Consider the following 24,678-nt stretch of genomic DNA (forward strand, 5'->3'; position numbering starts at 1 on the left):
TAGTTAGGCCCGCCTCTTCCGCAGCCGAAGTCCCGCCCCTTCCTCCCGGTGCACTCTAAATGAATTGTTTTGTTGCTGAGTTGCCATCGTCACTCTGGACCCATAGCTACTCCATCCCGAGTAGCCATGGGCTTACCATAGAAGGAACAAACTCTTAATCTTAGAACTGCTTTAGGCAGTGGGCGTGATGGTTAAAAACTCGGCCTTTGGCGTCGACCTCAGACGGAGATCTACCAATTAGGAAATTAGCTGTGATTTAGAAAATTTAATATTTCGATGCCATACTTTCCTAATCTGCAAAATTTTTGTAAATACCTGTGACCTAGTGTCGTGAGCGCTTAGCAACACCTGACACCCACTAAGCTCTCAGTAAGTGGTAGCTTTAGTATTACCATTATATCCCAATTAGTACAAGCACCTTACCTTAATGCTTTCATGGTTGTTCTAGGCCAGTGGTTCTGAAAGTGGTTCTAGACCAGCAACAACAGCAGTAGCAGCAGCACCTGTGAACTTGTTAGAAATGCAAAGTTTCAGGCCCATTCCAGTTCTACTGAATCTGAAACTCGAAGGGAACAGCAACCTATGTTTTAATAAACCCCAAGGTGAGTCCATGCACTTAAAAGCTTGAGAACCACCATTTTAGGTTAGGGTTGTTCAGCGATAGCACTACCGGCATTTAGGACAGGATAATTTCTTGTTGGGGGAGGGGGCATGTTCTGTACAATGTAAGATGTTTAACAGCATCCCTAACTTCCACCCACCAAATGCCAGTTATCTTCCCCACAGAGGTATAAAAATGTCTCTTTTCCGTATGTCCTCTGGGAGGCAAAATTACCCTGAGAACCACCATTTGAGGCCAATGCTTTTCAAATTTAACGTGCATACAAATCACCTAGAGACATTGTTAAAATGCCTCTTTTGATTCAGTAGGACCAGAGTAAGACCCTCAGTTGAGCACCAAAAATCTCCCAGATGTTGCTGGTCCCTGGATCACATTTTGAGTAGCAAGAGTTTAGGCAAGAGATGATTCACTAACTCTTGGAAGTCAGTGAAATAAGCCTCCTTTTAATTTGATGACCACATTCCTACCAATTCAACTTTCCAAAGCTGTGTCTTACATCCTAATATTCCTTTAGGAAGGTGTCATGGCTTTTCCTCCTATAGGACCTGGGACCTGTACTGTCTGCGGTTACCTTAGTATTCCCCTTGAAGACTTAAAAAACAACAAAGTTTGGGCTGCAAGAATGATCTATATCTGGTCATTTCCCCCTAGGAAAACATCGTAGGTCAAAAAATTAAGCATTTGGGTTTAAAGCAAAAATGTAAAAGAAAAAGGGTAAGTCTGTGATATGAAGTCAAAAAAACTGGTCCTGGTCATTTTATTTTTACACAATATCAGTTTCTTCATATGTAAATTAGGAATACTTGTCCCATCTTTACCAAATGCTGTTCTGATAATCAAGTGAAAAGTACTTTCAAGTAGTCAAAAACATGAAAATTGCTACACAAATCCTGTGTTATAGCTGATTTTCACCATAGAAGCTGATCACCTTCTTAAAAATTTAGAATTACCAGCTGTTGTGCTGGAAGGTCTAGTACCTTTTCGTTCAGGCCCAAAACCCTAAGGTTTATATTGTTTTACAGATTACTGCAAAGCTATCAATTTCTTCTGAACCTAAGAAATGACACACTATATCTATTCCCAGTAATACAGAAAGCTGTAAGTAGAATTATCAGGGCCCAGGCTATAGAACTTGAACTATACACTCCCGCTTAACACAATGGGCTTTTTTTTTTCCTAGTCTCAAGTCAACATCAAAGCAGCCTAAAAAAATAATTTGACCAACTATCCTGCTGCATTACAACTATTATTCATCTGCTACGTTTTAATATGCAATAGCAGCATGCAACAATACCACCAGCTTTTGGCTAATGACTTAGCATGAGAATATAGTCAGTTCTTCAGATTGCTGTTCCTCAGAGATACTTCCTAGGAAACTTTTTTAAAAATCACCATAGCAAAGAGTTGTAGAGAAACTACCTAAGGGTTAACACTTTCACTGCAGTATGAGTTAGTGAAGATTGTGGTCATGTGGTCATTGGTTTTAACAGAAAATAAGACAATCTAGAATAAAAGCCATAGAAAGAAATTTTTCATGAGTTTGACAGAAAGAGTCTTTAGAAAAAGTTTGAAAAAAATGAGAAAAATACATTAATTTTGTTAAATTTTTTTATATTAAAAAGTGGCATGAACTTTTTATGTAGAACAAAAATCTTGGGAAGGCAAAATTGGATAAAACCATTAAAACAGAAATAGAGTGCTTCAAATGAATCCCATCACCTTGTGATGTCCCTTATTAACAGTCTCTAAACCAATACCAGATACCAGAACAGTCCATCCTAAAGAACGAGCAGCAGTCCAGGGCCTCCACGCTACTTCATGCAATAACTGTTTAAATTAAGCCAGCAGGACCTGTTTCCTTTGTATAAGCTACAACTTCTGAAGCATTACAGTTCCTCTAGCACGGTGCTCAATCACAGCACTTGGAGCACCTCTCTGCATAAAGGCAAACAAAACATTGCCTAAGGACCCTGCAATGCCACCCTTGGAGGCTTACAAAACAGTAGTTAAAAGTTTCGGAGTGTGCACCACATTGCCAGCAATGGGATGTGTCACAATAGCAGATGTCAAAAGAGTTAAGCTAATATTTCTCTTTAAAGTACATCTGAAATAGAAAAATCTTTAATATACACCATTTGTAAACAAAATTGCACTTGATTTTGCTTTTTTAAATGATCTGAATCATACTGTAACAGTTTCTCTTTTTTTTTTTTTCTTTTGATCATTGATAGAACTATGGCTCCTTAACTCAGAAGGGCCCTTTTTTCTCAAAACAACCTCTGCAAGATGTAACCTTGACTTCCCAGGAAAATGAAAGGTAGTTAACAATTTCCCCCATCACCTATGTAACTCCCTAAATAAATAAAAATTACAGGCAGTTGCTCCTGGAGATTACATATTATGGTGTTGATGACAATCTTTTAGAAGACGTTAAACTTTTTAGTTTGTCAGATTTAAAAAATGAAACATTACAGAAAGTTCAGGAACAACACACTTAAGTTGCATGAACATCCATGTCAGAGTCTGGGAGGAAAGGGGGCAGCAGTGTTGTAAATAAGAAGCTCGTAGATTTTTCTCATCTTATGAACTTGTTTTCAGTAAGATGTTCTCTTTGTTCTGACACCTCTCGCCAACTCCAATGCCCAAAGATCAAGGAACAGATCAGGATGTCATTGCTTCCTTTAATCCCATGGAGCCGTACAGAAGACTGACACAGATGCTGATCTCTTCCCTGATGGTAGCCATCTTTAACTGCAAATCTTCCCATTCCTTACTCCATTTTGGACCTTTCAAAGTGTGTGATCATTCGTTCCTAGGGAAAAAAAAAAAGGTTGAAGTATATTAGGTTAAAATGATCTATATTCCAAATATCTTCTATACAGACTATCCAAGCAAACATCTTCCACGAGTACTTTATGTTAATTAAATGTTTAGAGAAATGGTTCCTAAACATTTGTGAAGATTTTGAACATACAGATGTCCAGACCTCACCCAAGAACAACTAAATCAAAAGCTCTAGGCTTCTGGACAGAAAATCAGCACTCAGAAGGAAATGTATAGAGTCAGCTAAGATCTTATGTAAACAAATATTTACATAAGATTAGGCTTTAATAAAAATGTGTAACTCCTCTAATTCAGGAATTTCACTTGAAGACCCAGTGAAGGATGAGGGCAAAGACGTGCACCTAGTTAGCACTTTGCACTTTAGAATGGTTAGGAGGGTTGATTTGTTATGTGTTTTTTACTACACTTTTTAAAAATCATGTAAAAAATAAAATTACATTTAATTTAATATAGTATTTACAGTATCCCATTTCAATTAAAATAATTAATGTACTACCCTTAAATTTCCCTTCTTAGGCAATTTTATACCTTAGAGTTAATTTTCATTTTTCTTTTGCTTCATTTGCGAAGTACCTCTCACTATTGTATCACAAACTGACAGAACTACAAATCCTTTTTGAATATAATCAATCACATCAGATAATCTATAGATGTTTCCCTTTTTCTTAAAAATATCCTTTCCGATGCTCTCTGTTCTCCACTCCATCCAAGCCTGGTGCCCAGCTGCCAACCTGAGAATTTCTTACATCATACTGGGAATTTTTCTTGTCTCTGTGTTGGACCCTTTATTTCCTAGATCCCAAGTCTTTTTCCTAGCTTCCTCATTTTTGTGGAGAACATTTTCCCCTACTTTCTTCAGAAACTGCATATAGAACATCAATTATTTTACTTCTTGTGTGACTAGAAACATCTTTATTTTACCCTCATAATGATAGTTTAGTTGAGTACAGAATTCTAGGTTGAAAATGATTTTCCTCAGAATTCAAAGGCTTTGTTCTGGCTCCCAAAGATGTTGTTGAAGAGCCTTATGCCATTTTGATTCCTGGTCCATCATGTAAATTGTTTCTCCTGTAATTCATTTAAGGTCTTTTTCAGTTTTAAGGGAAAAAAAGGCCTTGGAGAAAGTGATGTCAGCAAGATGACAGAATAGGAAGCCCTGGACACTCCTTCCCTCTACAGACACACTGATTCAATAACACATGGAAAAATTCCCTTTGTGGGAAATCCAGAAACCAGTTGAGGGTCTTCTGCACTATAGGAAAGCATGAAACCAGCTGAATCAAAGTCGGCAGAAAAACCTGAGGCACCCTCTTGCCATAATTCTTCCCTTCCCATGGACCCAGCACAGTACCACATGATAGAGAGGAAACCCTCAGCTCCCAGCTTCTTTTTGCAGAGGGAAGGAAATGACTGGAATGTACATCCAACATTCTGACTTTTCTGGAACCTGCACGAGAGACTGTTTTCTGTCTTGCCTGAGTCCGAGAGCTAAAAACAAAGGGCCCAGGTTGGAAGTTGCTGAAATCAAAGTGGAAGTTTGGACTAGCAAGCATGAGCTCACTACAGCCGCTCCCCCAGCTCAGTGCAGAGTAAGCAGGTAGAATCCCCAACATCCCCAAATCCTAGCTTTTCCCTAGGGAGGAGAGATGGACTGTGAAAATGTTCCAACTTTGTAAGAGGTTACCTGAGGGAATGGTTTCTGTAGGGAATGGTTTGAAGCACAGATGGGACCAGTATATTTTAGGTGCCTGGGGCCAGTATGAACAAAAAAAGAGCTGGGCTATGCCACTGGCTCCAGGAGACCCATGATACAGCAGATAAACACAAAAGGGAGCAAGAGATTATAAATTCCTGGGGAGGGAAAAACCCAGCAAATCCCTCTGATTGGGAATACATATGCAGAAGTCCAGAAAAGACATAATACAGAGTGGGTTAGAGAGGCTATCAGAATGATTGATGAGGGTGTTCTCCTGTACAATGCCAGTCCATGAACACTGGAAAGGTAACTGTTTTTTTTTCTAATGCAATGAAACCAACACAAAGAATTAAGGAAAATAGAGAATCAGTGAAACATGGCCCAAACAAAGGAAGAAGATAAATCTCTGGAAACCAACCCCAGTGAAACAGAGGTATAGGAATTATTTGAAAGAGAATGCAAAACAACTATCATGAAGATGTTCAACGAACTCAGGAGAACAATGCATGAACAAAGTAAGAATTTCAATAAAAATATACAAAACATTTTTAAAAATATGCCAAGAAACTGGATAACCTAGAACAAAATATATAATTCCTAGAAGTATACAATCTACCAAGACTGAATCATCAAGGAATAGAAAATCCGGGGGGGGAACACACAACCTGGTAAGACCTACAACAAGATTCCATCAGTAATCAAAAACATCCCAACAAAAAAACAGCCCAGGACCAGATGGCTTCTTTAGTTGAGTCCTACCAGGTACTTAAAGACAAAGTAACACTAATCCTTCTTAAACGCTTTCAAAAAAATTAAAGACGAAAACATTTATTTGGAAGGAACTTCCAAACTTATTCTATGAGGCCAGCATTACCCTAATGCCAAAGCCAAAGACATGACAAGAAGAGAAACGACAGGCCAATATCCCTGATGAGCAGACGCAAAAATCTTCAATGAAACAATGGAAAACAGAATTTAACGGCACGTTGAAAGAATCACATACTATGACCAAGTGGAACAAAATAGAAAGCCCAGAAATAAAACTACACATACATGGTCAACTGATCTTCGAAAAGAGAGACAACACTACACAGTGGGGAAACTGACAGTTTCCTCAACAAATGGTGCTGGAAAAACTAGATATTCACATGAGAAAGAATGAAAGTAACTCATCTTCACTATACACAAAAATCAACTCAAAATAGATTAAAGACTTAGACAAGTCAAAATAGATTAAAGAATTAGACATAAGATTTGAAACCACAAAACTCCTAGAAGACAACCTAAGTTTCTTGAAATTGGTCTTAGCAGTGATTTCTTGTCTAAGACACCAAAAGCACAAAACAAGAGCAAAACAGACCAATGGGACTACATCAAACTAAAAAGCTTCTGCACAGCAAGGGAAGCACACAACAGAATGAAAAGCAACCTACAGAATTGGAGAAAATATTTGCATACTACATACAGTCACGTATACTTAATGATAGGGATACATTCTGAGAACTGCATCATTAGGCAATTTCATAGCTGTGTGAACTTCACAGAATATACTTACACAAATCTAGATGTTATATAGCCTACTACATACCTCGGCTATATGTATAAGCCTATTGCTCTAGGCTAAAAACCTGTACAGCATGTTACTGTACTGAATACCAAAGGCAACTGGAATACAATGGTAAGTATTTGGGTATCTAAAGTTATCTAAACATTGAAAAGGTACAGTAAAAATTCAGTATTGGCCAGGTGCGGTGGCTCACGCCTGTAATCCCAGCATTTTGGGAGGCTGAGGTGGGTGGATCACAAGGTCAGGAGACCGAGACCATCCTGGCTAACACGGTGAAACCCCGTCTCTACTAAAAAAATGCAAAAAATTTGCCGGGCGTGGTGGCGGGCGCCTGTAGTCCCAGCTACTTGGGAGGCTGAGGCAGGAGAATGGCGTGAACCCGGAGGTTCTTATGGGACCACTGTCATATATGTGGTCCGTTGCTGACTGAAATGTGGCATAGGACTGTATCTGATCAGGGTTAATATCCAAAATATATAAGAAACCCCTACAATTCAACAGCAAAAAATCAACTAACTTGATTAAAAACTGGGCCAGGGACTGGAAGAGACATTTCTCAAAAGAGGGCTTCCAAATGGCTGACAGGTATATAAAAAAAATGCTCATCATCACTAATCATCAGAGAAATACAAACCAAAACCACAAGGTGTCACGTCACACCTGTTAGGATGGTCATTATCAAAAAACAAAAAATAACAAATGTGGGCAAAGAAAGAAATTGGAACCCCTGTGCATTGCTGGTGGAAATGTAAAATGGTGCAATCACTATGGAAAACAGTATGAAAGCTCCTCAAAAAAATTAAAAAATAACTACCATATAATCCAGTAATCCCACTTCTGCATATATACCTAAAAGAAATGAAGCAGGATCTCAAAGAGAAATGTGCACTCCCATGTTCACTGCAACATTATTCACAACAGCCAAGGTATGGAAATAACCCGTGTCCACTGACAGATAAATGGATGAAGATAACATGTTACATATATACAATGGAACACTTGTCAACCTTAAAAAGGAAGGAAATTCTGACATGTGCTACAACTTAGATAAATCTTGAAGACATTATGCTAAGTGAAATAAGCAAGCCACAGGGGGACAAATGCTGCATGATTCCACTTATATGAGTTATCTAAAATAGAACTCAAAGGCAGAAATAGAATGATGGATGCCAGGCGCTGAGGGAGGGGGAAAGCAAGAGTTGCTATTCAACAGGTATAAAATTTCATTTAAATGAGATGAAAATGTTCTAGAGATCTGCTGTACAACATTGTGCTTATACGTAATAATACTGTAACGTACACTAAAGGAGTTAAGAGAGTAGATCTCATTGTTATGTTTTCTTACCACAAAAAAGCCTTATGTATACCTGGAAAATCTTGCACAGTGTTTTCACAGAGGAAAATATGAACAGATGGCTGAACTCAGTGCCACCAAATTACTATAGCAAACTTGCATTCCCATGAAGGGCACAATCAGGTTTCAATTAATCAGCCTTCTCTGCTTATAGCAGCTCATGGAGAGCTGAAGTACAAGGGAAGCCTTAAAGGCAAATAATTAGCAGAGGAAGACCTCAAGAGGGAGATGTGGGAACAGCAGAATATACCACAGAAAGCAAAGTGTTATGTAGATAGGTTCAAATCTGAATGGTAGAGTTCTCAATTATTTCAACACATAGAACAGCTAAGGAATTTGATACTGTACATGCTGTGTCAAAGATCATGTCAGTGGGAAATGAACAAAACATTTTTAGCAGCCAATTCAACACAATGAATCAGAATCAGACAAAATGCTTCCAAAAGGCTTCCTGAAAAAAAACAAAACAAAAACAAACAAACAAAAACTCTAAAATGACCTAATATTCAGAACATATCCAGAACTAGTTTCCATGAACTCAGGCCACAATTCTTTTTCTTTTCTTTTTTTTTTTTTTTTGAGATGGGGTCTCACTCTTTTGCCCAGGCTGGAGTGGCGTAATCTCAGCTCACTGCAACCTCTGCCTCCAGGGCTCAAGTGATCCTCCCACTTCACCTCCCAAGTAGCTGAGACTACAGGTGTATGCCACCATCTCCGGCTAATTTTTGTATGTTTTGTAGAGATGGGGTTTCACCACGTTGCCCAGGCTGGTCTCAAGCTCCTGACCTCAACTGATCCTCCTGCCTAGGCCTCCCAAAGTGCTGGGATTACAGGCATGAGCCACTATACCTGGCCCACAATCCTAACATAAGACTTCATGTGAAGCCTTCTAGATTAACTGTATGGAGGCAAACTAAAAGATTAAAAACATAAATATTAGAGGTACTAATTATAATCCTTACTATCTGAAGAAGGTAGTGACAAAAATATTATTAAATAGTAGGTAACAATTTAGATTTTGTTTTGGTCTACTATATTCCTTTCTCAATATTTTTCCTTATTATTTTTGCCAATATTAGATTAGAGTTAAATTTGCATTTCTTACAGACAAAAGAACTAGATGGTGGAGAGTACTGTATTTACTACCCAATTTAAACAAAAACATTCTGAAGTCTGACCATATAACTTTGAAAGGTGAAACATGTATAGACAGATGCAAAGAAAGGAAGATTCTTGAATGTTTGAACTCTATTAGTATTTCTATTCTTATCCTTTTCAACTATATAAACTATAGTTTTCAGGCCACTACTGAGTCAAATAAAGAGAATCTCCATGAACAGACGATTCATGACTTTCTATTTAGTCACCATATACATAATTTATGCACGTGAATTGAGTACCAACCTCATCTGAATCCAGAAGGGCTGGAAGTGCTCTGCAAAGAGAGAGAAATACTAAATTGAACAATGTAAAATAAAGCCATAAATGGTTCATAAAAGACAATGGAATAATGCAATTAAAAGCTTTATAATTATCTAAGATTTGCATTTTATTAATGGCCCTTTTAGGAAAAATAAACAGCAAATACAATAAGCAACAGTTACAGAAATTGTATAGAAAAAAAACGTATTTTGCAATGCAACAGGACCAATGTTTCATTAAAATTATAGCCCTGGAAAGGAACTAAAAATTTCAAAAGGAGTATCCCATTCATTTTAAGATATACTACATAGCTAAATCTTTCTAAGCAGAAATGTCATCTGAATGAATAAACCCAATTAATTTTGTTTGCGGATTATTCCTATTCTTTTAATTATTTTTCAGTATCTTGTATTTTCATGAGTATAACTTGCTCATTTAAAATAATAACAAAGTAGTACTAACTTTGAAATAGGATTCTTGTGGTAATCATTCAAAAACTTACACATCTGTCACAGAAGAAGGAACATTCTCTTCTACCCACTTCAAATCATCTTCCTGCTGGGAACATACAAATACCACTCATTACTAAAATGCACCACATAATACATCTCAAGTAAGGACATGAAGGTCTTAAAACTTGTCTTTCATAATTCTGTAGTCATACATTCACAAATGGGACTGCTGACAGAAAAGTCAAATATTTTAATTTTTAAAAACATTTTTAAAAATCCCTTTGACCAACATCTCCCCAGTTCTCCCATAGCCCCTGGTAACCAGCACTCAACCCTCTGCTTCTAGGAATTCAACTTTTTTAGATTCGACGTAAGTGAGATCATGTGGTATTTGTCTTTCTGTGCCTGGCTTATTTTGCTTAACATAGTATCTTCCAGGCTTCTTCACGCTGTTGCGAATGACAAGATTTCCTTCTCTTCTGAATCTAAATAGTATTCCATTGTATATCAAAATACACATTTTCCTTATCCATTCATCTACTGATGGACATGCAGGTTGATTCTGTATCTTGGCTACTGTGATTAATGCTGCAATGAACATGACAGTGCAAGTATCTCTTTAACATACTGATTTCATTTCCTTTAGGTATATACCCAGTGACATGAATCCTGGATCATAAGGTAGTTCTATTTTTAATTTTGAGGAAGCTCCATACTATTTTCCATAATGGCTATACTAACTCACATTCCTATCAACAGAGTACAAGGGTTCCCTTTTTTCCATGTCCTTGCCAACACTTGTTATTTCTTCATTTTGATAAATGCCATTCAAACAGGTGTGAGGTGTTATCTCACTGTGGTTTTCATTTGCATTTCCCTGAGGATTAGTAATGATAAAAATTTTTTCATATACTTGTTGGCCATTTGTAGGTGTTATGTTAAGAAATGTATATTCAGGTCCATTGCCCATTTTTAAACTGGGCTATTCGTTTTCTTGCTACTGAGTTCCTTATATAAATTGGGTATTAACCCCTTAACAGATGCAATGTTTGCAAATGTTTTCTCCCACTCTGTAGGTTGTCTTTTCACTTCGTTAATTGTTTCCTTTGCTGGGCAGAAGCTTTATAGTTTGATGTACTCTCACTTCTCTATTTTTGCTTTGTTCCCTGTGCTTTTGGGGTCATATACAAAAAAAAATCATTGCCAAGACCAATGTCACAGAATTTTCCTCCTGTTTTCTTCTAGTAGTTCTACTAAGGGTTGGAAGATGGGACAAAGAACAAAGACAAATGGAAAAGTCATACTTACTGCTTTGTTAACTTTACTATTTCCATTGGGTTCTTGTTTGGTACTTCTCATTTTCATTCCTTCTGTAGAAGAAAATAAATATACACTGTTTAACTTTGTGAACAGACCAACAATGTTGGCAAAACGGATTCAGAACTTTTTCTTTTTTTAAATTAAAAGCCCCAAAGTTACTTATCATAGTTTTATTTTAAGCTTCCTAATACTTGTGAAGTATACAACAGATGCTTCTCCATCTTTATATGTAAGCTGGGAAGTTCAAAGCAAAATTTTTAGCTCACTTCTAGCAAGTAAAATGGATACTTAATGTGCAATTACTTACTGAATTTACCATGCCTTCATCTTAAGATTCACACCCTTATTTTCTTAACCCTGACTTCATCCCACACCAAATATAGGAACAACACAGTTATAAAATAATAAACAATGTACTTACAGAAAAATAATATTTAAAGTACTAATAAGAGGTGAATTTTATTATTACCAAAGCTTTCTTTCAGCATAGGCTCCTTTTGTTCATCCTCCTCCTCTTCCTCAGACAATGGTGAAAAGGCAAACCTAACAGAACCAAAGTGAACAGAAGGAAAAAATTAGAAAACTTCAAAAACTGCTATACCAGTTGCATTTTACAAAACTAATTATTGAAACTGCAATTATAGTAATTCATTAAATCAGTTTAATAATAATATTTCTTCCCCTTCAGAAAGCTCTTTATTGCCTATATTAGCAAGGGAGAAGCAGGACAGTATCATATTTATGAGTGCAGGCTCAGCTGAATACTACCTGTGACATCAGACTAGTTACTTAATCTCTCTGTACCCAGTTTCCTCAACTGTAAATAAGGGGACAATAGAACATTACTCATAGGGGTGTTTTGTAAAAGTAAGTCGTTACAAATAAAGTGCTTAGAACAATACCTGTCACATTCAGTAGACAGTCAACAAATGTTCATTCATAAGGATATGTATCAAATAGAGTTAAGTAAATTCTCATCTAATTTAAAATCGCAGCCTTCAAATTGGGAGTTAAGAGAAGGGAGGCCTATTCCAGGTAATTTAATTTCAGTTTACAAGTGGGAAGCTCAGAAGATGAAGGTCTGATCTGGTATATCTCAGATGCCTTTCCTTAACAACTTCCAAGAGATTCAGCAAAGCAGCTCCCAGACATGTAATTCCTAGAATGCTTTAGCTTTTATTTATTTGTTTTATTATTTATTTATTTATTTATTTTTTGAGACGGAGTCTCGCTCTGTCGCCCAGGCTGGAGTGCAGTGGCATGATCTCACCTCACTGCAAGCTCCGCCTCCCGGGTTCACACCATTCTCCTGCCTCAGCTTCCCGAATAGCTGGGAGTACAGGCGCCCGCCACGATGCCTGGCCAATTTTTTGCATTTTTTTATTAAAAATACAAAAATTAGCTGGGCGTGGAGGTGCACGCCTGTAATTCCAGCTACTTGGGAGGCTGAGACAGCCTCAGGTGATCCGCCTGCCTCAGCCGCCCGCCACGGCCTCCCAAAGTGCTGGGATTAAAGGTGTGAGCCACCGCGCCTGGCCGAAAACAACTTTGTCCATCAACTGATGAGAATCCCTTGACCCCGGGGAACAGAAGTTGCAGTGAGCCAAGATTGCACCACTGCACTCCAGCCTGGGCGACACAGCGAGACTCCGTCAAGAAAAGAAAGGAGAGACAGAGACAGAGAGAGAGAGAGAGAGAGAGAGACAGAGAGAGAGAGACAGAGAGAGAGAGAGACAGAGGAAAAGGCAACAGCATTCCTACATATTTGGAAAAGCTGTATATATTTTTAAAAGTTGCATTCGTAAGAGTCACAAATTTAAATCAGAAGTTACAAAACGTAATTCAAAGACTAAAAAATGGAGAGATGCCATACTCAAGGAATTATCAAAAATATATATATAATCTCCCTAATTTATTAATTCAATTAAGTTCCAATCAAAATCTTAATAGGTTTTCCTAGAATTAAGCAATCTAAAATTTTTATTAAAAAACAAAAGCTGGGTGTAGTGACATGTACCAGTAGTCTCAGCTACTGAGGAGGCTGAGGTAGGAGGATCCCTTGAGCCCAGAAGTTTGAGTCTAGCCTAGGCAACATAGCAAGACCCCATCTAAAATAAAAAAATTTTAAAAATAAAGGGCAAAAATTCAACACCAAAGGCTTTTAAAAAATTTTTTTGAGACAGGGTCTTGCTCTGTTGTCCAGGCTGCAGTGCAGTGGTATGACCACGGCTCACTGCAGCCTCGACATCCCAGGTTCAAGTGATCCTCCCACCTCAGCCTCCCAAGTAGCTGGGATTACAGGCATGCACTACCATGCCCAGCTAACCTAAAACAATTTTTTTTGTAGAAATGGGATCTTGCTATATTGCCAGGGCTGGTCTCAAACTCCTGGGCTCAAGCAATCCTCCCGGCCAGACCTCCCAAAGTGCTGGAATGACAGGTGTGAGCCATCACGCCTGGCCAAATGTTTTTTTGGTTGTTTTTTTTGAGAAAGAGTTTCACTCGTTGTCCAGACTGGAGTGCAATGGCGCGATCTCAGCTCACAGCAACCTCCCCCTCCTGGGGTTCAAGCACTCCTGCCTCAGTCTCCCAAATAGCTGGGATTACAGGCATGTGCCATCATGCCCAACTAATTTGGTATTTTTAGTAGAGACGGGGTTTTTCTAGTTGGTCAAACTGGTCTCGAACTCCTGACCTCAGGTGATCTGTCCGCTTCAGCCTCCCAAAGTGCTGGGATTATAGGCATGAACCACGGTGCCTGGCCCAAAGGCTATTTTTAAAAGAGCCAGGTAGTATGCAGCTGAGCCTGCACTTATAAATATGATTAGGGGTTCAGGCCCTCCAGATACCACAGTTTATCAGAAGCCTAGGGTAATTCAGACAGTGTGCTACTGATGCAGGAGCAGAACAGAAGAGAGTAGAGAGCCTAGAATCAAGTAATTCTTGGTGGATGAACATCTTGATTGTGATTTTTTTTTTTTTTGAGACAGAGTTTCTCTCTTGTTGCCCAGGCTGGAGTGCAACGGCATGATCTCAGCTCGCTGCAACCTCCGCCTCCCGGGTTCAAGCAATTCTGCTGTCTCAGCCTCCCAAGTAGCTGGGATGACAGGCGCCTGCCACCACGCCTGGCTAATTGTTGTTATTTTTAGTAGAGATGAGGTTTCATCATGTTGGTCCGGCTGGTCTCGAACTCCTGACCTCAGGTTGTCCACCCGCCTCAGCCTCCCAAAGTGCTGGGATTACAGGCATGAGCCATAGCGCCCGGCCTGATTGTGAAATTTTTAAAAAGTCATTAGAGAATAATTTTTTGAAATCACCTTAGGCTAGATAAGAATTTGTCAAAATAAGATGCAAAATGTACAATCCTTGAAGGGAAAAACTACTCCATATTTCTGAGATTTTGTATGATTAAAAACAGCATAAAAATCATAAGATTATTAACTGGCAGAAAATATATGCAATACTTAGAACAAACAAAATATTGGCATACAAAATATATCAGAAATTCCTACAAATTGGGCCTGGTATGGTGGCTCACGCCTGTAATCCCAGCGTTTTGGGAGGCCAAGGCAGGCAGATCGCTTGAGCTCAGGAGTTTATAACAAGCCTGGGCAACATGGCAAAACCCCATCTCTACAAAAAATACAAAGATTAGCCCAGTGTGGTGGTGCACACCGGTGGTCCCAGCTACTCAGGAGGCTGAGGTGGGAGGATCATTTGAGCCCAGGAGGTGGAGGTTGTAGTGGGCCAAGGTTGCTCCACTACACTCCAGCCTTGGCTTCAGAGCGAGACCCCATCTCAAAATAAATAAATTCCTACGAATCAATACATAAGTGATTGTTACAGTCTGAATGTCTGTCCCCTCCAAAACTCATGTTGAAACCTAATTCCCAGGGTGACAGTGTTGGGAGTTGGGCCTAATGGAAGGCATTTAGGTCATGAGGGCTCCACCCTCATGAATGAATTAATGCTGTTACATAAAGGGTTTTCTGGAGTGGGCTCTCCCTTTTGCCCTTCCACCTTCTGTCATGTGACGACCCAGTAAGAAGGCCCTCACCAGATGCTGACACTGCGAGCCAACAAATTTCTGTTCATTATAAACAAACAGTCTGTGGTAGTTTGTTATAGCAGCTGAAAATGGACAGAGACAATGATCAATAAGCCAATAAAAAATAAGCTAAAGATCCAACCTTAAATGCAAAAAGTAACAATATTAATTCTCATCCACCAAATCTGCAGAAATTAAATAAAATGATGGGACATAAAACAAGGGAAGAAGAAAAAACCTCTCTCATACCATTGTTGTTAAATATGCAATTTCTTTCAGGTTTTTTTTGGGAACGTAATCTGGAAATACTTTAAAAATTACAATCTACACATATCCTTCAACCTAGCAAATCCAAGCCCACTCATTAAATATTTCTTGAGCATGTGCCAGTGTGTAGTGAGAACCTAACCTTCATTGACTAATGTGAGGTGATCCCGACACCCATAACATGTCCTGTCTTTATTTGCCTGGGGACTTTGGCTGACAGTGTAACAGTATGGTTTATGATAGGGGCTTTGGGCCATGCCATATCAGCTCTGACCTCCAGAGGAAATGGTATTAGCATGACTGCCAGGAGGGGTTGGAAACTAAAAGTCAGCAACAGAGACAGTATGTGATTGAGCCCCAGTAAAAACTCTGGACATTGAAAGCTCAAATGGGTTTCCCACATTGGCAATAGTCTGTGCATACTGTCACATATTTGGCTGGGAGGAGGTAACACTGCCCAATAAAAATCTTGAGTGCTGAACATTAATGGGCTTTCCCAGACAGAAACAATGTGTTACTACATTTTTGTTGCTGGGGAAAAGAACTGACTTGATGTACTTCCTCAGAAGAGAGACCGAACACCAGGAAAGAAAATACAGATTTCCCCAGACTCTACCTGCTATCACCATTTTGTTGTAATACACCTTAACTGTGAGTATAACTGTACGCTGCATCCCATGAGGCCTTCTAGTAAATCACTGAACATCAGGATGGTCTTGAGGACCCTGACACACCTCAAACTGGAAATATCCCAAATGCCCATTAATAAGAGAATATGTTAATTTAACTGTACTACACATGTCCCATATTTATGCTATCCATGAAAATGAATGAGTTCAGTTAAACCTGTTACACTGGAAGGAATCTCCACAATGTACTGTCACAAGAGTAATGTAAGATTCCATACATGAACAGGGAAAAGACACATTATAATATGCAGTTAACACTGAAGTCACAGAGAAAGGGGGCAATGTTTTAAAAGAAAAGGGGGAAAAAAAGAAGAGGGAAGGTAACGCAAAAATTTTTTAATGACTGAGGAAGGGAAAATATTTAAATACAAATATAGCTAGTGAGTAACCAGTAGATCAACAGACGGATATAAAAGAAGGGTCTCCAGAATGTAAAAGTTCTTTCTCAATAGTGTGATTTCAGATCTCCTTTATTTTCTTTCATTACTTTTCTCTATTCTGACTTTTTTTGATAAACACATATAAAGTGCATAGTTTGAAATGACAGCAAGGCCATTTTCATGGAGTAAAAGGATTTCACCTATTTTCTATTTCAATCTTTCATTGGGTCTGGTTATAAAATTAGTCATTTATATCATGCTACCCTTTTCCTTCTTTGGTGGTATGGGTGTTTAATATAAGCTCTTAACCGTCTAAATGCAAATGGGGGGGGGGGGAAGGCATAATCACAAAATAAAGCTAGGCAGTTCCTAAATGACTGAAATTTGCCTATAGTTGGACAAATCAGATTTACACATACATTTTTAATTTCAAAGTTGGTTATGTAAGTTTTAATTTTACCCTTTCTATCATTACAAAGTGAGCTGGGCTGCTGGTTACAGAAATTTTCTTTCCTTCTAGACACTAGACAGGAGAGACTCAGTGTAAGTGATACAATTATATCTTCTGTTTTCTTTGAGACAGTCTCACTCTGTCACCCAGGATGGAGTGCAGTGGCGCCATCTCGCCTCACTGCAACCTCTGTCTCCGGGTTCAAGCGATTCTTGTGCCTCAGCCTCCCGAGTAGCTGGGATTAGAGGTGTGCACTGCCATGCTCGGTTAATTTTTGTATTTTTAGTAGAGGTGGGGTTTTGCCATGTTGGCCGAAACCATGTTGGCTCAAACTCCTGGATTCATGTGATCTGCCCACCTTGGCCTCCCAAAGTGCTGGGATTACAGGCATGAGCCACCGTGCCTGGTTGACACAATAGATTATATATCTATCTCCCTTGTTTACTATACAAATACTTACAGTTATACTTGGTTTTATGGTGCTTCATTTTACTGTGCTTCCCAGATTTTGCAGCAACCCTATGTCAAGGAAGTCTATTGGTGCCATTTTCCAACAGTAATGTGCTCACTTTGTGTGTCAGCATTTTTTTTTTGAGAGGGAGTCTCGCTCTGTCACCTATGCTGTGCAGTGGCATGATCTCGGCTCAGTGCAACCTCTGCCTCCCAGGTTCAAGCGATTCTCCTGCCTCAGTTGCCCAAGTAGCTGGGATTACAGGCATCCACCTCCACACTCAGTTAATTTTTGTATTTTTAGTAGAGACGGGGTTCCGCCACGGTGGTCAGGCTGGTCTCGAACTCCTGACCTCAGGTGATCCAACTGCCTTGGCCTCCCAAAGTGCTGGAATTACAGGCGTGAGCCACCACGCCCAGCCCCTGTGTCGGTATTTTTTTTTTTTTTTTGGCAATAAAGTGTTTTTAAATTAACGTGCATATATTTTTTAGACATAATGCTATTGCACACATAGTAGACTACAGAATAGTGTAAACATAACTTTGATATGCACTGGAAAAAACAAAATATGTATGTAACTCAATATCTGCTTTATCGTGATGGTCTGAAACCAAACTTGCAATTTATTTCCATAGTATGCCTGTGTATTTATCACAAAATGTCAGAGCTGAAAGGAACTTCATGTTGCTGGGTTTAATTCCCCCTCAGTATATAGAAAGGAAACTAAGGCCAGAGAGGTGGAGAGGCTGCATGCCAAAAATCATGAAGTTAAGAGGAGAGCTGAGATAGGAACCCAGTTCTTCTGATTCCAGGCCCAGTGTTCCTTCCACTATATGACACAGCCCTGATACTGTCCCCCAATGCACCACCCCTAATTGATGACATGGTCATCTCATGTTAGCAGAGTAAACAGAAGAGTCCAAGAACCTCTGGTTGTTTGCAGATGGTCGCCAGAGAACCATGATGACAAAGAGGATCATGGAGAACAGCAAGCGCCAGATGGCATCGTCTACCCACAGCTCCCGCCAGTCCTACAATACAGGGGAGAAGTACAACATTTATACACATTATCTTAACCCCTTGTTCATAAAGCCTTTGGCATAGAACAAAAATCACTTATTTGTTCATTCAAGTTATGTTTACTAAGAGCCTGCTACGTGCTCAGTACTGTGGTAAGTGTGGGGAAACAAAGTGAATGAATGTAGTTTTTGCCCTTGTAGTGCTTACTGTTGTTAAAGAAAATGCATCAACGGAACAGAGTATTTGTCAAAGCTTCATCATCCCTCTGAGAAGCTTTAAGAAAGGGTTTTATACAGGGTTAAGAGAAAGTTACCTTATACAGTGTAAGAGAAAGTTACATTAGGTTGGTATACTTTATAATTTTCATTTTCATTATTTATTGAACAAAATAAGAGCCTTAGCTGCTTCTGAAGAAATCCTACTGTCACAGTCGTTGAGCTCAGATCTTAAGGATGTGGCTTCTATTCAGATTAGTATTATTTACACATATGGTACTTAATATTTAGTACTCTGGACTTCTTAAGATTTTTAGTTAAAATAAGACTGGGTTATAGCACACTGTAGTTATAACTTACAAAATTCTCTCCCAAAACTGGGAGAATACAGTCAGAAAAAACAAACAAAAAACTACTATACCAAGCACCATGATAGTACAGAATACTTAGGAGGAGGGAAGTATCACAACCCTCAGAGTAGAGACCTAGCTCTAATTTTTTATAAGGTATATAACTTAGAAGAACCTTACCACTGTCATCAACACCATCAGTTGTTTATAAGACAGTACATTATTCATAAATGTGCTTATAACTCACCGACTGACATGTCACTATTCTGAACTTCATGGTTGTCCAGATGATAAACACAATGGATGCTAACAGTAAATGAAAAACCAGGTCAGAGTATGAATGCTGGTTTACATCCCCAATTACATTCCCCCATTTCCGGTTAAGTGGAATCCCACACACCCCGAACCCCCAAATACATCACAACTCTATCAGTTATTTTAACAAATGTATTCAATACAAAAGGACTGTATACCTGCTATCAGCAAGGCTCATGATACATACTCTGGCCAATCCTTTCTCTATTTAAAGAATAATTTGGTAATAATGTTATTTGCCATCTGGCTACATCAGTAACCAGTGTGGTTGGAAAATAAGGTATTGGAAATATAGCTCTTTCCAGCATTATCAATATAATTTTTTTCTCCTTTTATCCTTAGTATAGTAATGCTAATTTTTCTTTGGCTGGTCAGATGAAAAAAAATGGCTGATAAAACGACTGTAACACAAACAGAAGAGCTAGTTCCAATCATAAATCAGACCTCACTATTCCTGGTACAAGGGTCAGGAGGTAGGCAAATTAGCCTAGTTTGGTTACAGTCCACCTAATGTCAATTTTTTACATATGCTTGCTGACATATGTAAAACCACTATAATAGCAATGCACCCTAAAATTCTACAACTATTTAATAAAACTAAACAAACATGTGGTAATGTCTTCTAAAAGGAGTACTCTCTGGCACTTAAGCTAACTAACCTCAAGAAAAAGAATGCCTCAAGAAAGAATGCAAATAGAAGAGGGATAAATGAAGAGCTGAAATATGAGGTTGATTTCCAGCTACTGTACATAAAATAAATGGTTCTCAACTTTTTAAAAACCACAGATCCTTCTGAGAATTTGACAAGAGCTAAGAACCCTTTTCCAAGTGAAATATACAAAACTTTCTATGTCCACCCATGGCCTTTCAGGTTAAGAATGTCCATTCTAAACAGATCACATTTGAACTCCAAGAAGAAAGTCCCAGACTTACCTGCCACTGCCAAAATAAGCGTGTTGGTGAAATGCCGATACAAAGAGAGTTTTACAATGTTCCTCCGAAGTTTTAATAGCTTCATTGTTTGAGTCAGGCTAATAAATATGTGTTTGCAGGTCAAGGAATTCAACATTCAGGAAAAAACAGTAAGCTAGCCAATTAGTTTTCAGGTTTCTTTAAGGATCTGGGGTCATGCCAATAAACTTATAGATCTCTCAGAGGCCTTATAGCTCTCTTATTCTCACTTAATCTCACAAACACCTCAAGATGAATAAGAAAGTCATCATTTTATTTTCTTTTCCTTTTTTTTTTGTGAGGCAAGGTCTAGCCCAGGCTAGAGTGCAGTGGCACAATCACGGCTCACTGCAGCCTTGACCACTGAAGCTCAAGCGATCCTCCCACCTCAGCCTCCCAAGCAGCTGGGACTACAGGCATGTGCCACCATGCCTGGCTAATTTTTAAATTTTTTTGTAGAGATAAGGTCTCGCTATGTTGCTCAGGCTGGTCTTAAACTCCTGACCTCAACTGATCCTCCTGCCTTGGCCTCCCAAAGTGCTGGCATTACAGGCACGAGCCACCATACCTGGCCGGAAGTCATCATTTTCAATGAGACATTAAAGAGAAGACAGAACCAGAATAAAGTAAGAATGTACAAAATCACAAGAGAAAAAATATAAAAAAGAGAAAGGAAGAGGCTTTCTAGAGAAACAAAAAAAAAAGACAGAAAATAAATAGAGAAATGGCAGAAGATAAAGTGAACATGAGTAACAGGCAAGGGACAAAGAGTTAACATCATCTTCTCTCTCCCTTTAAGGTGGGTAGCTCTGTTCTCATCTGTCCAGCAAATCTAGTTGAGGGTCATAATTATACTCGTGCCTATAATCTCCCAGAGATCTACACTCAGTCCCCTCATGCCATCTTAAGGAACCTGCCATCAGTTGCCTGCACTATCCTGAATTAAGAGGACCTTACAATTGGTTGAGAAGCTCATATGGTTTGCTTCCAAAAGCAATGACTCTCCATTTTCAGAACATTATTCTCAAGTAGAAGTTGCCAGAGAAAAACAGGAGGGGAATTGGTGACTACTAAAAATGGTATCTGCTCTCACGTTCAATGTTCTTTTCTTTTTGAGACAGGGTCTCACTCTGTCACTCAGGCTGGAGTGCAGCGGTGCGATCTCGGCTCACTGCAACCTCCGCTTCCAGGGCTCAAGCAATTCTCCTGCCTCAGGCTCCCGAGCAGCTGGGACTACAGGTGCAAGCCACAATGCCTGATGAATTTTTGTATTTTTTGTAGAGATAGGGCTTCGCCATGTTGCCCAGGCTGGTCTCAAACTCCTGAGCTTAAAGCAATCTGCCCATCTCAGCCTCCCAAAGTGCTGGGGTTACAGGCATGAGCCACTGCACCCGGCTCAATTTTCAGAATGAGAAGCAGATACAAAAATAAGGGATTTGGCACTTGCTCTGCCCTTACAGAGCCGTAGCTGTTACCTAGTCATTGGGTTATCTTACTGTACAATCCATTCCCACCTCCCTCTTCTCTCAACGCTTGCAGAGGTTCACAAAACACTTAGAAAGATACTAATCTAGAAAAGCTTTGGCTATTTAGTCCAAGGACACTTTAACTGAAAACTCTTATACAGCAACCCACTCAAATTCACAAAACAATTTTGTTTACATTCACAGTTTTTCAACAGTCACAATCTATCAGGTCAGTAATAATGAAAACTGCTAATAGGACCAAATATATAAAAACCAAAACAAATTCAATAAGATAAAGTCCAAAAACTTGAATCCTTTAGCCATCAGGCCAAGCCCCTAATATATAAATTTAATTTTAAAGAGCAGGAGAAAAAGATTGCTCAAATAGAAGCTTGTTTGTTATCTGCTGGTTGACTCTGCCTGTAAATGAATCAATTATTTATTCTGAAGGGTGGAAATCTTCAAACAATTCCAAGCCAGCTTTTGAATGAGGCAAGAAAACACTCACTCCATAAGGGTTAAAACCTGCTGAACATACAGAGTTTCAGAAAAGTCAAAGCACCTTACATAGTTCCTGAAATCAAATTTTAAGGATCAAAATCTTTTCATAAGTTTCAAAGCATTTAAGAATTGCTAGAGGCTAAAAGGCAGAGCAGGACCAGCACAGCCAGTGACTCTAACACTAAATGATTAGGTACACAAACAAGAAGTGCAAAATCAAGATGAAATGCTCACTTAAAAGAAAAAAGCCAAAAGATTTTATCTCGAGCTCGGTCCACAGTCACCAATTTCCAATTTGATTTTTAAAATTAAAAAAATAGAAACAAAAAAAACTGCTTACCTGAACCCTCAGGTTGTTAAGACTTAGCATGCACTGTTCCCCACACTAAGGAGTAATTAACAAAACTGATAAAAACTCTTTGCAGAAAGATCAATGGAAACCCATCTCAAGGGGAGAAAATGGACCATCATCAAACAAGCCAATGAGAAGGATATCCACCAGCACAAGGCAGTGTCTAGGAAAGCCAAGGGGATAAAGGCCAAGGAAGCAAGATCAGTCTGGGCCTGCAGACAAAGAAAAAGAAGTGGTGAAAAACAGATGTCTAGAGAGGCACAGAGAAGAAACCACCACATGATTCTGCATTTACATAATCACTGGAAAGTTTTTGCATTGAACTGAAAGAAAATAAAAAGAACATTTGACACCTAATCATTCTTCCCTTCTTATAAACCATCACATAGAATATACAGCTATAAGCATTTCACATAAATTGTCATTTACAATCTCGAAACATACTGCTAAGTACGAGTTTTTCATATATAAAGATCCATGTTAACAAGTGACCATATTCCAAAAAAGTTCTAATGTTTATAAGCCCCATCCTTAATCTATCATTTCCTATTATTGCAATTTTGGCTACAAGTCTGAAAAGACTTTTCTCGTATTTAAAAAAAATTACTGCATCATATACAAAGAATTATTAATTTCTAAAATTATAATATTTTACAAATAAGAGCTCACCCCAAAATAAAATGTAAGGCAATTATCTGTCTGAAAAACTATGCTGCATGTTTCCAGGAGTTTATATAGAGTATGTTTTTTATATAACCCTAATTACCCAATCAACAGGCATTACTGAAAGGATATCCATAAAATAACACAGGCGTCAATTGCTGAGAGGGCCAGGTTTACTATCAGAGTCAAGGGATAAGAAAAATACTATAGCAACAGCAGAAGAAAGAAAATGAAATTGACAGAGGGTTAAAGTTGCTAGAAGTCTAAGAGAATTACATACAGAGGACAGTGTGATTTGAAAAGCAAATGTGCATCCACAAAGTGTTTGATTTAAGAGGCAATTTATTGCAAAACATATTGAGCCGTTTTCTTGTGGGCAAAGCCAAGTTTATAGTTTTTACAATATTGAATCTAATAGGTTGCTGTGGAGTCTTTTTTTAAAAAATAAGAAAATTAATTGAAATGGCCTAGAGAACCTTATACTTCTTCGTATTAATCCAGTGGTAACATAAATTTCTTTTCTCCTCTTTTTTAAGGAAGAGGTATCACTCTGTTGCTGGAGTGTAATGGCATGATCATGGCTCACCGCAGCCTGAACTCAATCAGTCCTTCCACCTCAGCCTCCCAAGTAGCCAGGACTACAGGCACCCACCACTGCTCCCAGCCATAAATTTCTTTATCACTTAGATTCTTTGGTTTCCTTCCCTGGCAAAGGGAATAATTATACAATTCTCAAAAATGGTGTGAAACTTCATTAGCTGCATTTTTTTTTCTTTTTTTGAGACGGAGTCTTGCTCTGTCGCCCAGGCTGGAGTGCAGTGGCACGATCTCGGCTCACTGCAAGCTCCGCCTCCCGAGTTCACACCATTCTCCTGCCTCAGTCTCCCAAGTAGCTGGGACTACAGGCGCCTGCCACCACGCCCAGCTAATTTCTCGTATTTTTTTTTTTTTTAGTAGAGACAGGGTTTCACCATGTTAGCCAGGATGGTCTTGATCTTCTGACCTAGTGATCCGCCTGCCTCGGCCTCCCAAAATGCTGGGATTACAGGCATGATTACACACCCAGCCTCATTAGCTGCATTTTAAGGAAGTTTTTGAAACTGAAATGTTAAGAAACAACAGTTACTTTAGATTAGATTAACTAGTAAGTGTATGACTCCAAAGTCTGCCATTTACACAAGAATTTCAGTCTGGATTTCAGTCTGGATTCCATTGATTAGAAAAAGAAAAAAAAATGCAAGTCTACTGCTTGGGAGGAGGAACTAAAACAATTAGCAATTTG

General features: G+C 38.8%; 1 protein-coding gene and 1 long non-coding RNA gene across 23 annotated transcripts in view; one reads left to right on the top strand and one right to left on the bottom strand.

Moving 5' to 3' along the window:
* Window positions 1-85: 85 nt before the first annotated feature.
* VPS39-DT (VPS39 divergent transcript) lies at window positions 86-22,877 on the top strand. Of its 2 annotated transcripts, none has more exons than XR_932181.3 (3): window positions 86-369; window positions 449-602; window positions 22,807-22,877. It is a non-coding gene; the product is annotated as a VPS39 divergent transcript (long non-coding RNA). The 2 variants fall into 2 exon arrangements; XR_932179.3 differs by lacking the exon at window positions 22,807-22,877 and adding an exon at window positions 16,093-16,172.
* Window positions 2,132-24,678, bottom strand: part of TMEM87A (transmembrane protein 87A) — a 63,138-nt gene continuing 40,591 nt past the window's right edge. For 6 of the 21 annotated variants that reach the window (NM_001286487.2, NM_001438990.1, NM_001438988.1 and 3 more), the window contains 9 exons: window positions 22,877-22,945; window positions 20,397-20,505; window positions 19,396-19,454; window positions 18,491-18,594; window positions 11,747-11,820; window positions 11,266-11,327; window positions 10,008-10,063; window positions 9,488-9,518; window positions 2,217-3,434 (listed from right to left, as the gene is read on the bottom strand). In NM_001286487.2, the coding sequence (NP_001273416.1) occupies window positions 3,393-3,434; window positions 9,488-9,518; window positions 10,008-10,063; window positions 11,266-11,327; window positions 11,747-11,820; window positions 18,491-18,594; window positions 19,396-19,454; window positions 20,397-20,505; window positions 22,877-22,945 (606 nt within the window). In that variant the 3' untranslated portion in view covers window positions 2,217-3,392. Of the gene's footprint in view, window positions 3,435-9,487; window positions 9,519-10,007; window positions 10,064-11,265; window positions 11,328-11,746; window positions 11,821-18,490; window positions 18,595-19,395; window positions 19,455-20,396; window positions 20,506-22,876; window positions 22,946-23,528; window positions 23,601-24,678 lie in introns of those variants that run through there. The other 15 variants (NM_001438992.1, NM_001438982.1, NM_001438994.1 and 12 more) reach the window with 12 other exon arrangements.

Source organism: Homo sapiens, chromosome 15, assembly GCF_000001405.40.
Source record: "Homo sapiens chromosome 15, GRCh38.p14 Primary Assembly".
Taxonomy (NCBI): domain Eukaryota; kingdom Metazoa; phylum Chordata; class Mammalia; order Primates; family Hominidae; genus Homo; species Homo sapiens.